At 38.6% G+C, this 17,768-nt stretch overlaps 1 protein-coding gene and 1 pseudogene across 3 annotated transcripts in view; one reads left to right on the forward strand and one right to left on the reverse strand.

Annotated features, from left to right (window-relative positions):
- The window catches only part of ADGRG7 (adhesion G protein-coupled receptor G7), an 85,879-nt gene that overhangs the window by 46,032 nt on the left and 22,079 nt on the right, over positions 1 to 17,768 (forward strand). For all 3 annotated transcript variants that reach the window (NM_032787.3, XM_047449088.1, NM_001308362.1), the window contains 3 exons: positions 267 to 363; positions 4,056 to 4,211; positions 13,317 to 13,473. In NM_032787.3, coding sequence (NP_116176.2) covers positions 267 to 363; positions 4,056 to 4,211; positions 13,317 to 13,473 — 410 coding nt within the window. The remainder of the gene's footprint in view (positions 1 to 266; positions 364 to 4,055; positions 4,212 to 13,316; positions 13,474 to 17,768) is intronic.
- On the reverse strand, positions 9,218 to 9,890 carry GMFBP1 (glia maturation factor beta pseudogene 1; annotated as a pseudogene).

Consider the following 17,768-nt stretch of genomic DNA (forward strand, 5'->3'; position numbering starts at 1 on the left):
ACTGAAACATGACAATTCTGGTAAGAGTTACAAAGAAACTGGAAATAGGATTGATATGTAGAGCCATCAGTGAAAGGGAAGGGAAAACACTTGGAGAAAAATTATGTCCACTGTCGACCCACATCTGTAGGATCACTTTGTATATTGTCCATAGTGAAAACAACATACATCCTGAAGAGGGTCAGATGTATAATTCATGTATGATCTTTTATAATTAATCCAAGTCTGGATAAATCATTAATTATGTGCCTCTCTTTATCACATAGGAGTCCCAGCTATAGTAGTGGCTATAACAGTGGGAGTTATTTATTCTCAGAATGGAAATAATCCACAGTGGGAATTAGACTACCGGCAAGAGAAAATGTGAGTTTATATTTTTTTAAATGTCCAATTGTTTGACCTAAAAGTGTAACTGTTCAGTGATATTGACTCCGAGTGTCACTGTAATTTGCATTTCACTTTATAATTGTCATGTTTAGTGGTAGACATTTGAAATTCTCAAAGAACACGTTATATTTTAAATGTGATGACATGGAAATTTCCCATAAGTCCTTTTGTAAAGCAAGTAATCACCTTCGAAATTTATAAATGTGAACTTTCTTATGTTAAATTTGTCTTCTTTCATTAAATCTGAAAATCATGATACAATAGGTATTATCCTTAGTAATCCTATATCTTAGTTTTCTCATCCAGAAAATGGGAATAACAATAATAGTAATTCCTGTTCTGGGGTTACTTCAAGGGATCAATCAAGTGTGAAAACATTTAATAACTCGAACACTATATGTCTCACTCATATAAACCAATTCTATGTTGATATGATTTTAATGAATATTTCATGATGATTTATCATACATAACAAATTCTTCCTGTGATTCCAGTGTGAATAATTAACTGTTGTAACAGAAGCATCTGACTGTATGACATTTGCTTTTTTTGTGTGGGGGAGAAAAGAAAGTGGAGCTGAACTGAGACTCAACTCTTTATATGCATTTCTGCTACCAAATGGCAACTACTCTTCAATTTATCCTCTCTTCTCATTTTATAAATCTAACTATTCATATCTCCAAATTCCACCGGAAGTCCCAAACCAACGCAAATGAAAGCAAAACTTTTGGAAATGGGCAAGTACACCAAAGGAAGGCTGTGGTGTCTGGGAACTCCTCTTTCCCAGGGCTGATCATGCCCAACTGTAGGCTGGGGAGCTGACTGCCTGGCCTGATTTCATGCTCCCAGATACTACGTTTGATTATGGTTAAATATAGTTTTAGGTTTTAAAATTTTAATGCCACCAGTAGAAATATCTAATTAGAGATACCCAAGATGCAAATATCTCATAGGGGAGGTAATTCACTTCAAATTGCATTATTAATTGGTGTTAACCCAGGCACAGGGCTAGACTCACTCCTTTAAAAGTCTTCAGAAGAAAGAAGCCAACTGACTTCAGTTTATTCACACTGAGCTGTAAATAATTAAGGGCAGCTCCTTTCCTGATTACGGTGTTAGTTGTTGGGGAAGATACGAGGCAACTGATAATAAGAGAAGCTGGGGAGAGAGGAAAGGATGTGTGACATAAGCATCTGCCTCCTCCTGAACTTTCTCCCCCACCTTCCACCCTACACACATGCCATCAAGGGCCACATTTCTTCAGGATATATTGAAACTCAGGAGGGATTATTTTTGGTTTTCCTGAGTTATTCTCCTAGCAGTTGCTCCTCAAGAGCCTGTGCACTCCCCTGTTGCTCCCAGTTCTGCCAATCATCCTGAAATCCCTGACCCAGTTACCTGAAGTACTGCTGTGTCTGCATAGACCCAGTTACAGGGTGAATGTAGGGCAGGCCACATTCCTCTTTAATGCTCTACCCCCAGTTCTCTGTACCACTGCTATGTAGGCCATTTCAGACATTCCCAAAGGGTTGAGGTTAACATGGGGAATTATAATTGGGGGGAAATTTTTCAAGTATTGTTTTTACACTGAAGCTTTCTTTCCCTATGTTCCATGGCAAACCAAGGAGTTAAACACTTCATCTGCATCCAGTTATAATGCTCTGCAGACCTCAAGTCCATAGCTATTTGTCAGATCAACCTCCACCATCCTGAAGATAAACTTGGCACTATTTTATTTATGGATGGACTTATTATTGTATCTGTTAGAGGCAAGCATGCCTTTGCATTTTTAAATTCATTATAGAGAATGGAACATCATCTCAGTTTCCTCCTAGGTCATTCAGATTAGAAATATGATTTCCAATAATTTAAATTAAAACTATTCCAATGCAAAAAAAATTTAGAAATCCTTTCACGTGTATAATAATGGTGTTTTACAAAACTCCAGGGGAAAGAAAATAAAATTAATTGAATGCCAAATATGTGCCATAGCTTCTCACATCATTGTAATACCTAATGGCCTACCTGACACCTCCACTTGACTGTTTAATAGACATCTCCTCATCTTCCCTCCCAAACCTGCTCATCTCATCGTCTTCCCCAGTTAATAGTAATTCTATCCTTCTAGGTGCTCAGATTTTGGAGTCATTCTTAATCCCCTACATACCACATCCAACCCATCAATAAATTATTTTGCTTTACTTTTAAATATATCAGGAATCAGACTATTTCTTAACATCTCCTCTCCTGGTCCAAACTATCCATATTATTGCAATAGACTCCTAGGTATTAGGTTGGTGCAAAAGTAATTGCAGTTTTTGCCATTACTTTTGTACCAACCTTATATTTCCTACTTTTGCTCATGCTGTTCTCTCATCACTGCACCTGGATTAATGTTTTTAAAACTCAAGACAGATCACGTCATGTCTCTCCATCTTGTCTAGGGTACAAGCAATCACCCACAAAGCTCCTACATAATTTGTATCTTTCCACTAACGTTATCCACTTACTGTGGTTCAGCCACACTAGCCTTTTTTTCTTTCTTAAGCTGTCACCTCAGGGCCTTTGCACTTGATGTGATTTCTGCCTGGAACACCCTTCCCCATCATCTACTTCAGGTCTTTGCTCAAATACAGCTTTTTTCCATGAGGTTTTCCCTGACCACTCTATTTAAAATAAAACACCCCTCCCCTCCACACACATATACACGGTAATTTCTACTCTCATTACCTGATTTACTTTTTCTCCATGGCATTCGTCACCATCTGACATATTGTGTATTTTATTTACTTTGTTTTATCTATTTCTCTGCACTAGAATGTAACCTCACTAAAGAAGGGATTTTTGTTTTGTCCGCTGCTGATACCTTGGTGTCTAAAACAGTGTCTAGCACATAATATGTACTCTCTAAATATTTATTAAATGAATTAATTAATTCTTTCAACAATGCCTGTAGGTGGTTACTATTATTCTCACCTCAGATGAGAAAAAAACGCCACTACAACCACCACCACCAAAAAACAAAACAAAACAAAATAAACCCCACAAAACAAACACAAAACAGGTACAATGAGGTTAAATAACTTTTTCAAACTCTTTTTAAACATTAATATTTAAAAAATGCCCATCAAGGCTGGGTGCAGTGGCTCATGCCTGTAATCCCAGCACTTTGGGAGGCCGAGGTGGGTGGATCACGAGGTCAGGAGATCGAGACCATCCTGGCTAACACGGTGAAACTCCGTCTCTACTAAAAAAAAAAAATACAAAAAAATCAGCTGGGCGTGGTGGCGGGTGCCTGTAGTCCCAGCTACTCGGGAGGCTGAGGCAGGAGAATGGTGTGAACCCAGGAGGCGGAGCTTGCAGTGAGCCGAGGTTGCACCACTGCAGTCCAGCCTGGGCGACAGAGCAAGACTCAGTCTCAAAAAAAAAAAAAAAAAAAAAAAAAGGCCCATCAATAGGAGACAGTTTAAAGTTATAGTATATTATTTCACTTTTCTAGTGGGTAGAATTCTTGAAAGTCATAAGTCATCTCAAATGTGTAAAATGCAGAGGGATGTTAACTTTTAGCAGATCTTTCAGTTGAGTGAATGTCAATAGTGTTAATAGCACAAAGACCAGTATGTATACCTTTCTTAGTCTGCTGAAGCAATTTTTTTTTTCCTCCACAGCTGCTGGCTGGCAATTCCAGAACCCAATGGTGTTATAAAAAGTCCGCTGTTGTGGTCATTCATCGTACCTGTAACCATTATCCTCATCAGCAATGTTGTTATGTTTATTACAATCTCGATCAAAGTGCTGTGGAAGAATAACCAGAACCTGACAAGGTAAGATTCCCAATGAATGGGAAGCTGCCAGGCAAGGCTCATCCAGCACTTAACGCAGCACCATAACACATCCACAGTTTCAGAAGCTTTCAAACTGAGACAATGGCAGGGCTACGTGGTTTACAGGAGAGATTTTTCTCTTACACTTTGACTCAGAAGGTGGATCTTCTCGTCTTCTCACATCCGTACAGTCTGCTCTCAATATCCTGGGTTTCCACATCTGTGGATTCAACAAAGTGAGGATCAACTAAAAACTAAACCTAGACTTCAAGAAAAAAAATTTTCGTCCCTTATCCTAAATATTCAAGAAATCATATTTGGATAATTAAAGAAATGAGAAGGTTGTGGGAAAATGCTGATACCTGGATTTTCATTTTATTAATACAGTCCAGTACCTGTTGGCTATATTTTACATGTGTTGCTTGAATTACACAATAGCACTAAAATTTCTTATTTATTTTATTTTATTATTATTTTTTGAGACAGGGTCTTGCTCTGCCATCCAGGCTGGAGTGCAGTGGCACGATCACAGCTCAATGCAGCCTCGACTTCCTGGACTCAAGTTATCCTCTCCCCTCAGCCTCCAGAGTAGCTAGGACTACAGGCACACAATACCATGCCCAGCTAATCTTTTTCTGTTTTTTATAGCGATATAGTCTCTGTAAAAAAGAGGCTGGTCTTGACCTCCTGGGCTCAAGTGATCCTCCCCAGTTGGCCTCCCAAAGTGCTGAGATTACAGGCATGAGCCACTGTGCCCAGCCTTAAATTTTTTAAATTAGTGGCAAACATACAAAAATTTGGAGAGCTCACTTAAAAATTAAATTTTCGGCAGGGCGCAGTGGCTCATGCCTGTAATCCCAGAACTTTGGGAGGCGGGGGTGGGTGGATCACCTGAGCTTGGTAGTTTGAGACCAGCCTGACCAACATGGAGAAACCCCATCTTTACTAAAAATACAAAATTAGCCGGGTGTGGTGGCACATGCCTGTAATCCCAACTACTTGGGAGGCTGAGGCAGGAGAATCGCTTGAACCCAGGAGGTGGAGGTTGTGGTGAGCTGAGATTGCACCATTGCACTCCAGCCTGGGCAACAAGAGCGAAACTCCATCTCAAAAAAAAAAAAAAAGAATTGAATTTTCTCTTGAAAAAATTGGAATATCTGGCCACTCTAAGCTGACATTCCCTGCGGGGGTCATGTGCTTTCTGATTTACCAGTTCCCATCCGTACTGCTTCTCTCCTTTCTATAACCTTTCTGGCTCCAAAAAGCATTTTCATTGTCATCCCTGATATACAACAAGAGCATTCAGTTGGAGAGACAAAAAGCAGAAACTATTAAACACATATACTCTACCCTCCCTGACCCCATCTCCATAGCATAAATTGATTGGAATACAGTGCTAATGAGACTATGAGTTCAGATTTAATTCTATAAGATTTTGCTCATATAGTAAGTAGACTTAATAAAAGCAAGCATGTCTGTGAGCTTATAGCAAGCTTACAAATAGGTCCACTTAGTAATACCAGATGAGTAAAAGCCACCATCTTTAGTGGGACTATATCTTTTTTTCTTTTAATGTTAACATTTTATTTAAACCAGTACAAGCACCATGCTTAACAAAAGACTGTCCCAAATAAACATGCAATATGAACTAGCAGAGACTGAAACCACAGCTTAAGAAATTGTGCCAGTTGTTGGTTTTTTTAAATGATGACAGAGAACTGTTAAAATTCACAAGACTAAACCATTAATGTTTCAAGCCTCCTGAATGAGATTATATTGGACCATGGAAATCAGTGGGAACTGCCCTGGCATGTTAATGATCTCAAACAATATTCAAGTAATTATATTTACATGAATTATACTCCAAAAAGCAAGAAAATACAATTTCTATCACAAGATTACTGTATATGAGCACTGATTTGAAATGTCAAATGGCATAATAAAAACAAATTTCTCAAGAATATTCAGCTTGGGACCATTGGTTTTAAGTGGCTAGAAGATTATTACATTCTTTCAGAAATACAAAATAAGATTTGTCCAGAAATGTTTGAAATACATCCTCACAGAAGTTGTAATGGCTCAAACTCTATAGATTCCAGTATTATCAGTTTATTGAACAAATAAGGAAAGCAACCACAGTAAGAATACTTGAATTTATAGAATGCAAGTTACCCTCTACTTCCACCAAATATCAGCATTTAAACTTTTATGAAAATATCTATTCATCACTAGTCCACATATGGATTAATGACATTGCTCAGGTTTTAAAAGTAGTTCAAACATTTTTTTAAGTATACCTTCCTTAGTATCTATATGGGTTGGGGGGAAACAGCCAAATTTAATTTGGCAATAAACTCCCCTAACTGGAAATTTTTAGCTAAAGTGTCAGACGAGGATACAGTTTATGGCTACATTTGACTCCTGAAAATGGGAGATAAAAGGGGAGGGAAAAGTGCTGACACACATTTTGCCACACAGATTATTTAGTAATGACAGTAAAAAAATTTAGCAACACGCTCTTAACAGTATGTTTAACTGCATTAGGCATTTAGTAAACTTTTAGAACTAGACAATTTGAACATTTATTTTAGAAGTCAATTAAACAAAAGCAGTCAACCAACTTTTTTGCTAATATAATAGCATCAACACCAGAACAAAGTGATCACTATTAAAAACTCAGCCATTTTGGAATTTCAGCATAGTAACCTGAGAAGTTTTCTTCATATGTGTTTTTGTTGTCATGGAAACCACACTAAATAATACTGTGATTACCAGTTGATTTTATCTTGACATTAGATGCTATGCAGAACTTATGCAAGGCCAACAATTTCAAAACTAGTGCTGACTTAGAAGACCATGAAGGAGGGTCCCAGGAAAAAAGTTGCTGCCAAAAAGGAAAGAATGATTAAGGTTGAATGGGAATGGTTGTACCAGAAAGATACAGAATGTAAAAACTGGAATTATGAAAAAAACAAAAAACAAAAAACTGGAATTATGAAACCTGGAGTTATTATCGGGGGATGGCAGAAAAAAGACACTAAATAGGAAATATACTTGAAAAGAACAATGCAAAATTTAGTAAGATGAAAGGGAAATCTATACAAATGTTTGAGAACATTTTAGAGCATGGGATTTGTAAATCTCCCCATAGAACAGATAAAATAAAAATGTCCTACTGATCCTCTAGCCTCAATCTGTTGTGTTGCAAAAAACATGTTATTGACTAGGAGTCAGGCAAGCTCAAAAAAGCATGGTTTATCACAGCTCTTAGCTCCTGTTAAAGAGAGTAGGGGAACTAAGGGTTCTAATGTACGGCAGGTCAATATTATCTGACATTATGGAGGACCTCCAAATTTAAAAATAAAACTAAAACATGCAAGAAAAAATAAGGAACTTCATTTAAAAATACATTATTGCAGCACTAGTTTCTCTTATTGCTGCAAACCAGGTGAATCAAAACCTAAACCTCATTTCCTTCATTCAAAAACATTAAAAACACTCTCCACTCACTTGGATTACATTTGCATTTCTACAGAATTATATGCATGTTATTATCCAATATCAAAATACCTGTTTAAAGAATTCTTAAACTTCCTGGGTGGGTTTTCTCTCTCTCTGGAAATTGGAATAAAGATTCTTTTGCCTCCAAGAACCAAAACAAACACCTACTCTAGAACTTTCTCATCTCCAACTAACTTTCTACTGCTTGCTGACTTCTAAATTAGTGAAGCCAAGGTTGAGAACAGAAGATGTTCTATTCAATATCATGAAAATTCCATCTTTACTTCTCACAGAAACCTCAAAAATAAAATACAAAGAACATACGAATGGAAAACATGCCAAAATTTAAATTTTGCTAGTTTTGAGATGACTAAGATGTTCTTAATATAAGAATTCACTCACCAAATTTGGTTAGTCTTCAGAGTCTCTAGACCTATTATCAAATTAATGTTCAATGGTTACTTATATATTTGTTTTTATAAGTATGCCAAATAACAGAATCCTTGCTTTATGCCAAGAATACCATCATCTAACAAGACTGGTTTAGTTAACTATTCAAGCATCCAGTTCAGAATATCTTCTGACCATTAGGATATAAGACGTGATATTGATGTTTTAACGTTATTATCTATGGCCAAAGTTTTAAGTTAATTTTTTCCTATGGCACAAAACTAATCACAAGTATACCCAAAATTATAACTCTCGACTGCCATGTATTCACCAATTCAAGCAGATAGTCGGAATTTTTAAAATATGAAGTTGATTTTATTATAAATTTCAGATATACGCATTAGAAAATTATTTTATTTGGACTCTTTAAAAAAGTATTAATTTCACCAAATCTGGAATACTGAAGTGTAAAAGTCTTAGACTAACTTTAAAGCTAACAAATCAAAGGCACAGTATTAACACATTTAAAATAACTAGTGTTCACAGGACATTAAGCGGTGCTTTATAAATGAAGTGTTATTAACCTAGACGCAAAACTGTTTAGAAATGACGTAAAAGGAATGAAGCCCTTGATTATTACAACCCACCAATTTCTAAGACTAAGATGCTATTTTCCATAAGGAGAAAAGCTAACGGTCATAATTCTATCATAAAATCTAACTCCCCAACCTTAAAAATTAGTGATTGATGAACATAGTTTCTAGACTTGATTAAAAAGATACAGAAAACCAAACAAGATGCAGAACTGATCAATGTACTTGTAATGCAGGTTACACTACAGTAAATTATTCATGGCTCAATACTGGGTCACTCAAGTCTTTGACCCCACATCAATTTCAATGATTTGACAAGTGATAATAAGCTATTTTCATAAATAAACTGCTAATATCCAGTATTTGTCAAAAGGAGGCAACTGTTGTCTCTCACAATCTAATATATCCACATTCCAGTGGTGTCTGTAAATAGTAACAAATTCTGAACCATAAGTTATAGAAGTTAGTCACAAGAGTGCAAAAAGTCCATGGAGAAAAGTAATCCACCGAATAATTACCAATATAAGGAAACACTGTACAAAGTTTCATTACTATAAAGATGATTTCATCTTTGATCAAACTTTGCACAAATGAAGAATTTTTCTTTACTGCAGAAAACAAACTGTAAGTAACAATGCATTTTTAGACACAAATAAGTATTTATGTCTGGTTCCAGTATGGTAGGGCAATACATAAATACTTTAGAAACACAGAAGTTCACATTAGTGGAAAAATCCAAGTTTCTCACATAACCATTCTTCAGTCAGTTCTTCCGTATTTCTTATTTCAAATATCTTGGTTAGTTCAGCTGTCTGGACTAGCTTATTCTTACTGCCAGCATATATCATTTGTTGTTCAGGCTTACATCCAACAGGACTGGAGAAAATAAAGCACGGAGGATATGGAACTCTCCCATCCATTATGTTGATATTTATAACTATACACAATGAAACGAGGTTGTCGTTCAGGTAGTTCATCTTTAAGTTCATCTGGTGAAATACCCTCAAGCTCCTCATCCAGTACCACCAGGCGTTTATCCTTCAATCTTCATTACAATAGAAGCATTGTTTGTTTCTTTGTGAAAACGAAACTTTCTCAGCTTTTCCACTAAATCTTCAGCAACATCAAAACCACCAAAGACTCACTCATTTCCTTTCCGCCGTCAGTGGCCTGTTGCCTTCACTTGGGCACCTTTTTCTAGTGGGACTATATCTTACATATGTACTTTACAGATCAAGGTTAAGTATCATTCTTCCTATATGAACGGTAGTTCATATTAAGAAGAAATATGGTTAAAATATTATCACTGATAAACATTAAAAGTATGTTTACTGAACATAAGTGGTGAGAGTGGAAGGAAAAAATAGTATGTTTAATAGCAATGCAGAAAAACCTTGGTAAAGGCTTCTTTGCCTAATTGCAAATTAGGATATATTTCCTTCATACAAAAATTATCATGTTTGGCCACAGATACCAATCAAATTTGTATTGCTAAATGTTGATTGATAGACTATGGTTCATAAATTAGCCTAGTTATAATGACAAGCAGACTGTGATTTAATTGTTTAATAAGTAACTTTCATGTGTTCAGTAGCTACATAACAAATTGCCCCAAAACTTAATGGTGAAAAATGACAAATGTTTATTATTTGCCATGAGTTGAGTGTTGGCTGGGTAGTTCTGTCTTGACGGGCTTGGATGCTTATTAATGATCAAGGATGACTCACTTTTTTTTTTTTTTTGAGATGGAGTCTTGCTCTGTCACCCAGGCTGGAGTGCAGTGGCGTGATCTCGGCCACTGCAACCTCCGCCTTGAAGGGGTGGGTTGCCCCTCCACACCTGTGGGTGTTTCTCGTAAGGTGGAATGAGAGACTTGGAGAAGAACAAGACACAGAGACAAAGTATAGAGAAAGAAATAGGGGGACCCGGGGAACCAGCGTTCAGCATATGGAGGATCCCGCCAGCCTCTGAGTTCCCTTAGTATTTATTGATCATTCGTGGGTGTTTCTCCGAGAGAGGGATGTGTTAGGGTCACAAGATAATAGTGGGGAGAGGGTCAGCAGACAAACATGTGAACAAAGGTCTTTGCATCATAGACAAGGTAAAGGATTAAGTGCTGTGCTTTTAGATATGCATACACATAAACATCTCAATGCTTTACGAAGCAGTATTGCTGCTCGCATGTCCCACCTCAGCCCTAAGGCGGTTTTTCCCTATCTCAGTAGATGGACCGTACAATCGGGTTTTATACGGAGACATTCCATTGCCCAGGGACGGGCAGGAGACAGATGCCTTCCTCTTGTCTCAACTGCAAGAGGCATGCCTTCCTCTTATACTAATCCTCCTCAGCACAGACCCTTTACGGGTGTCAGGCTGGGGGACGGTCAGGTCTTTCCCTTCCCACGAGGCCATATTTCAGACTATCACATGGGGAGAAACCTTGGACAATACCTGGCTTTCCTAGGCAGAGGTCCCTGAGTGTTTGTGTCCCTGGGTACTTGAGATTAGGGAGTGGTGATGACTCTTAAGGAGCACGCTGCCTTCAAGCATCTGTTTAACAAAGCACATCTTGCGCAACCCTTAATCCATTTAACCCTGAGTTTGACGCAGCACATGTTTCAGAGAGCACGGGGTTGGGGGTAAGGTCATAGATTAACAGAATCTCAAGGCAGAGGAATTTTTCTTAGTACAGAGCAAAATGGAGTCTCCTATGTCTACTTCTTTCTATACAGACACAGTAACAATCTGATCTCTCTTGCTTTTCCCCACACCGCCTCCTGGGTTCAAGCAATTCTCTGCCACAGCCTCCCGAGTAGCTAGGATTACAGGCGTCCACCACCACACCTGGTTAATTTTTTTTTTTATTATTATACTTTAAGTTCTGGGTTACATGTGCAGAATGGGAGGTTTGTTACATAGGTATACATGTGCCATGGTGGTTTGCTGCACCCATTAATCCGTCACCTACATTAGGTATTTCTCCTAATGTTATCCCTCCCCTAGCCCCCACCACTGACAGGCCCCAGTGTGTGATGTTCCCTCCCTGTGTCCATGTGCTCTCATCATTCAACTCCCACCTGTGAGTGAGAACATGCAGTATTTGTTTTTGTGATCTTGTAATAGCTTGCTCAGAATGATGGTTTCCAGCTTCATCCATGTCCATGCAAAGGACATGAACTTATCCTTTTTTATGGCTGCATAGTATTCCATGGTGTATATGTGCTGCATATTCTTAATCCAGTTTATCATTGATGGACATTTGGGTTGGTTCCAAGTGTTTGCTATTGTGAATAGTGCTGCAATAAACATACGTGTGCATATGTCTTTATCATAGAATGATTTATAATCCTTTGGGCATATGCCCAGTAATGGGATTGCTGGGTCAAATTGTATTTCTAGTTCTAGATCCTTGAGGAATCACCACACTATCTTTCACAATGGTTGAACTAATTTACACTCCCACCAACAGTGTAAAAGTGTTTCAGGTGCTACCAGGGTATGAAAAGAAAAAAAAAAAAGAGCTCCTGCAGCTAGTTCGGTGTCTGCCCAATTGGCCGCCCAGTTTTGTGCTTGAAACCCAGGGCGCTGGTGAGGCAGGCACCATAGGGAATCTCCTGGTTTGTGGGTTTCAAAGACCGTGGGACAAGCGCAGTATCTGTGTGGGAGTTTCTCAGGCTGGGACCCTCACAGCTTTCCTTGGGTAGGGGAGAAAATTCCCCAACCCCTTGTGCTTCCCAGGTGAGGTGACACCCCACCCTGCTTCAGCTCTCCCTCCATGGGCTGCACCCACTGTCCAATCAGTCCCAGTGAGATGAACCTGGTACCTACGTTGAAAATGCAGAAATCATCTGCCTTCTGCGTCAATCTTGCTGGGAGCTGCAGACCTGTGCTGTTCCTATTTGGCCATCTTGAATCCTTCATGACTCACTTTCATGTCTGGTGGTTGGTGTTTGGTTGGTTTTAGTAGCAACTGTTCAGTTGGGAAAGCTCATCTCTGCTCCACATAGTCTCTCATCTGCCATTAAACCAGCCCAGGCTTCTTAACATAGTGGTCTCAGGGTTCTAAAGAGGAGTGAGGGAAGGCAAATTAATAAACAGATGCTTTCAAGTCTCTGCTTGATAAATTTGCTAATGTCCCACTGGCCAAAGTAAGTCACATGGCCAAGCCCAGGATCCAGGGGCATAGACTTTCCACAAGAGGAAGAAGATCACTCTGCATCTAACTAACCTTTCTCTCCCTCATCAACTTAAGGCTCAGGAAGCTCCCAGGTGCCAAAAAAGGGGATTCCTCCATTGGCTGATCTGTAGTAATATTCACAAAATGAAAATTCCATTTCAATGAAGAAGTTGGTTCTTAAAATTTGCCTGCTGTAGTATTAAGGAGCTGTGTTTGCCTGAAGTTTTAAACAAGTATCAATGTATTCAAAATAAAGCTTGCTAAATCAGATTTTCTCCAGAGTGATGTAAGACTTAGCATCATTTTTCCACCTGGGGCATAATATTGTTAAGTGAACAATGTATATGGGCAGCTGAATATACATTCTAAATAGGAGAGTAATAATGACGTTGATAAGTAAAACCCTAATGAACCACATTATTTTTCTTGTTTTCTTTCACCTAGCACAAAAAAAGTTTCATCCATGAAGAAGATTGTTAGCACATTATCTGTTGCAGTTGTTTTTGGAATTACCTGGATTCTAGCATACCTGATGCTAGTTAATGATGATAGCATCAGGATCGTCTTCAGCTACATATTCTGCCTTTTCAACACTACACAGGTATGGTGCGGATTAGTCTGAAAGTAGCAGAACACGCAGTGGTGGAGATATCATCTTGATATCTTAGTTACCTTTAAGAGACTATTTTAAAAAAATCTAGGCCAGGCGCGGTGGCTCACGCCTGTAATGCCAGCACTTTGGGAGGCTGAGGTGGGCGGATCACGAGGTCAGGAGATTGAGACCATCCTGGATAACATGGGGAAACCCCATCTCTACTAAAAAAAATACAAAAAATTAGCCGGGTGTGGTGGCGGGCGCCTGTAGTCCCAGCTAGGGAGTAGTCTCCTGTAGTCTCCTCCTACTGTAATCTCCTCCTGTAGTCTCCTGCTGAGGCACGAGAATGGCTTGAACCCGGGAGGCGGAGCTTGCAGTGAGCTGAGATCGCGCCACCGCACTCCAGCCTGGGCGACAGAGTGAGACTCCATCTCAAAAAAAAAAAAAAAAAAAAAAAAAAAAATCTAGTGGGTACATAGTAGGTGTATATATTTATGGAGTACAAGAGATATTTTGATACTGGCATAAAATGTATAACAATCACTTCAGGGTAAATGGGGTACCCATATCCTCAAGCATTTACCCTTTCTGTTACAAACAATCAAATTATACTCTCAGTTATTTAAAAATATACAATTAAATTATTATTGACTGGCCGGGCGTGGTGGCTCACGGCCTGTAATTCCAGCACTTTGGGAGGCTGAGACAGGTGGATTGCCTGAGGTCAGGAGTTCAAGACCAGTCTAGCCAACATGGTGAAACCCCATCTCTACTAAAAATACAAAAAAATTAGCTGGGCATGGTGGCATGCACCTGTAATTGCAGCTACTTGGGAGGCTGAGGCAGGGGAATTGCTTGAACCAGGGAGGTGGAGGTTGCAGTGAGCTGAGATCACACCACTGCACTTCAGCCTGGGCGACAGAGGGAGACTCCATCTCAAAAAAACAAAAATTATTATTAACTATAATCACCCTGTTGTGCTGTCAAATACTAGATCTTATTCATTCTAACTATATTTTTGTACCAATACCCATTAACCATTCCCGCTTTCCCCTCCCGTCACTACCATTCCCAGCCTCTGGTAACAATCATTCTACTCTCTATCTCCAGGATTTCAATTTTTTAAACTCTTTAGGTCCCAAATAATTGAGAACATGCAAAGTTTGACTTTCTGTGCCTGGTTTATTTCACTTAACATAATGACCTCCAGTTCCATCCATGTTGTTACAAATGACAGGATCTCATTCTTTTTAATGGCTGAATAGTACTCCATTGTGTATATGTACTGCATTATCTTTATCCATTCGTCTGTTGATGGATACTTACTTTGCTTCTAAGTCTTGGCTATTATGAATAGTGCTGTGAAAAACACGGGAGTGCAGATATTTCTTTGATATACTGATTTCTTTTGGATATATATCTAGCAGTAGGATTGCTGGATCATATGGTAGTTCTATTTTTAGCTTTTTTTTATTATTAAACTTTAAGTTCTGGGGTACATGTGCAGAACATGCCAGTTTGTTACATAGCTATACACGTGCCATGGTGGTTTGCTGCACCCATGAACCCATCATCTACATTAGATATTTCTCCTAATGCTATCCCTTCCCTAGCCCCCCAGCCCCCGACAGGCCCCAGTGTGTGATGTTCCCCTCCCTGTGTCCACGTGTTCTCATTGTTCAACTGCCACTTACGAGTGAGAACATGTGGTGTTTGGTTTTCTGTCCTTGTGTTAGTTTGCTGAGAATGATGGTTTCCAGTTTCATCCATGTCCATGCAAAGGACATGAACTCATCCTTTTTATGGCTGCATAATATTACATGGTGTATATGTGCCTTATCCAGTCTATCATTGATGGGCATTTGGGTTGGTTCCAAGTCTTTGCTATTGTGAATAGTGCTGCAATAAACATACATGTGCATGTGTCTTTATAGCAGCATGATTTATAATCCTTTGGGTATATACCAAGTAATGGGATGTCTGCATCAAATGGTATTACTGGTTCTAGATCCTGAGGAATCGCCACACTGTCTTCCACAATGGTTGAACTAACTTACACTCCCACCAACAGTGTAAAAGTGTTCCTGTTTCTCCACATCCTCTCCAGCATCTGTTGTTACCTGACTTTCTAATGATCGCCATTCTAATTGGTGTGAGATGGTATCTCATTGTGGTTTTGATTTGCATTTCTCTAATGACCAGTGATGATGAGCTTTTTTTAAATATGTTTGTTGGGTTCATAAATGTCTTCCTTTGAGAAGTGTCTGTTCATATCCTTTGCCCACTTTTTGATAGCGCTGTTTGTTTTATTCTTGTAAATTTGTTTAAGTTCTTTGTAGATTCTGGATATTAGCCCTTTGTCAGATGGATAGATTACAAAAATTTTCTCCCATTCTGTAGGTTGCTGCCTGTTCACTCTGATGATAGTTTCTTTTGCTGCACAGAAGCTCTTTAGTTTAATTAGATCCCATTTGTCAATTTTGGCTTTTGTTGCCATTGCTTTTGGTGTTTTAGTCATGAAGTCTTTGCACATGCCTTTGTCCTGAATGGTATTGCCTAGGTTTTCTTCTAGGATTTTTATGGTTTTAGGTCTTACATTTAAGTCTTTAATCATCTTGAGTTAATTTTTTGTATAAGGTGTAAAGAAGGGGTCCAGTTTCAGTTTTCTGCATATGGCTAGCCAGTTTTCCCAGCACCATTTATTAAATAGGGAATCCTTTCTCCATTGCTTGTGTGTGTCAGATTTGTCAAAGGTCAGATGGTTGTAGATGTGTGGTGTTATTTCTGAGGCCTCTATTCTGTTCCATTGGTCTATATATCTGTTTTGGTACCAGTACCATGCTGTTTTGGTTACTGTAGCCTTGTAGCATAGTTTGAAGTCAGGTAGCGTGATGCCTCCAGCTTTGTTCTTTTTGCTTAGGATTGTCTTGGCTATGTGGGCTCTTTTTTGGTTCCATATAAAATTTAAAGTAGTTTTTTCTAATTCTGTGAAGAATGTCAATGGTAGTTTGGTGGGAATAGTATTGAATCTATAAATTACTTTGGGCAGTATGGCCATTTTCATGATATTAATTATTCCTATCCATGAGCATGGAATGTTTTTCCATTTATTTGTGTCCTCTCTTATTTCCTTGAGCAGTAGCTTGCAGTTCTCCTTGAAGAGGTCCTTCACATACCTTGTAAGTTGTATTTCTAGATATTTTATTCTCTTTGTACCAATTGTGAATGGGAGTTCACTCATGATTTGGCTCTCTGTTTGTCTGTTATTGGTGGATAGGAATGCTTGTTATTTTTACACAGTAATTTTGTATCCTGAGACATTACTGAAGTTGCTTATCAGCTTAAGGAGATTTTGGGCTGAGACGATGGGGTTTTCTAAACATACAATCATGTCGTCTGCAAACAGAGACAATTTGACTTCCTCTTTTCCTATTGGATACCCTTTATTTCTTTCTCTTGCCTGATTGCCCTGGTCAGAACTTTCAATATTATGTTGAATAGGAGTGGTGAGAGAGGGGCATCCTTGTCTTGTGCCAGTTTTCAAAGGGAATGCTTCCAGTTTTTGCCCATTCAGTATGATATTGGCTGTGGGTTTGTCATAAATAGCTCTTATTATTTTGAGATGTGTTTCATCAATACCTAGTTTATTGAGAAGTTTTAGCATGATGGGGTGTTGAATTTTGTCGAAGGCCTTTTCTATGTCTATTGAGATAATCATGTGGTTTTTGTCACTGGTTCTGTTTATGTGATGGATTACATTTGTTGATTTGTGTATGTTGAGCCAGCCTTGCATCCCAGGGATGAAGCCAAGTTGATCATGATGGATAAGCTTTTTGATGTGCTGCTGGATTCAGTTTGCCAGTATTTTATTGAGGATTTTCACATCGATGTTCATCAGGGATACTGGCCTGAAATTTTTTTTGTGTGTGTGTGTGTCTCTGCTAGGTTTTGGAATCAGGATGATGTTGGCCTCCTAAAATGAGTTACGGAGAATTCTCTCTCTTTCAATTGTTTGGAATAGTTTTAGAAGGAATGGTACCAGCTCCTCTTTTTACCTCTGGTAGAATTTGGCTGTGAATCCCTCTGGTCCTGGACTTTTACTTTTTTTGATTGGTAGGCTATTAATTACTGCCTCAATTTCAGAACTTGTTATTGGTCTATTCAGGGATTCGACTTCCTCCTGGTTTAGACTTGGGAGGGTGTATGTGTCCAGGAATTTATCCATTTCTTCTCAATTTTCTAGTTTATTTGCATAGAGGTTTTTATAGTACTCTCTGATGGTAGTTTGTATGTTTGTGGGA

Source organism: Homo sapiens, chromosome 3, assembly GCF_000001405.40.
Source record: "Homo sapiens chromosome 3, GRCh38.p14 Primary Assembly".
NCBI classification, from domain to species: Eukaryota; Metazoa; Chordata; class Mammalia; order Primates; family Hominidae; genus Homo; species Homo sapiens.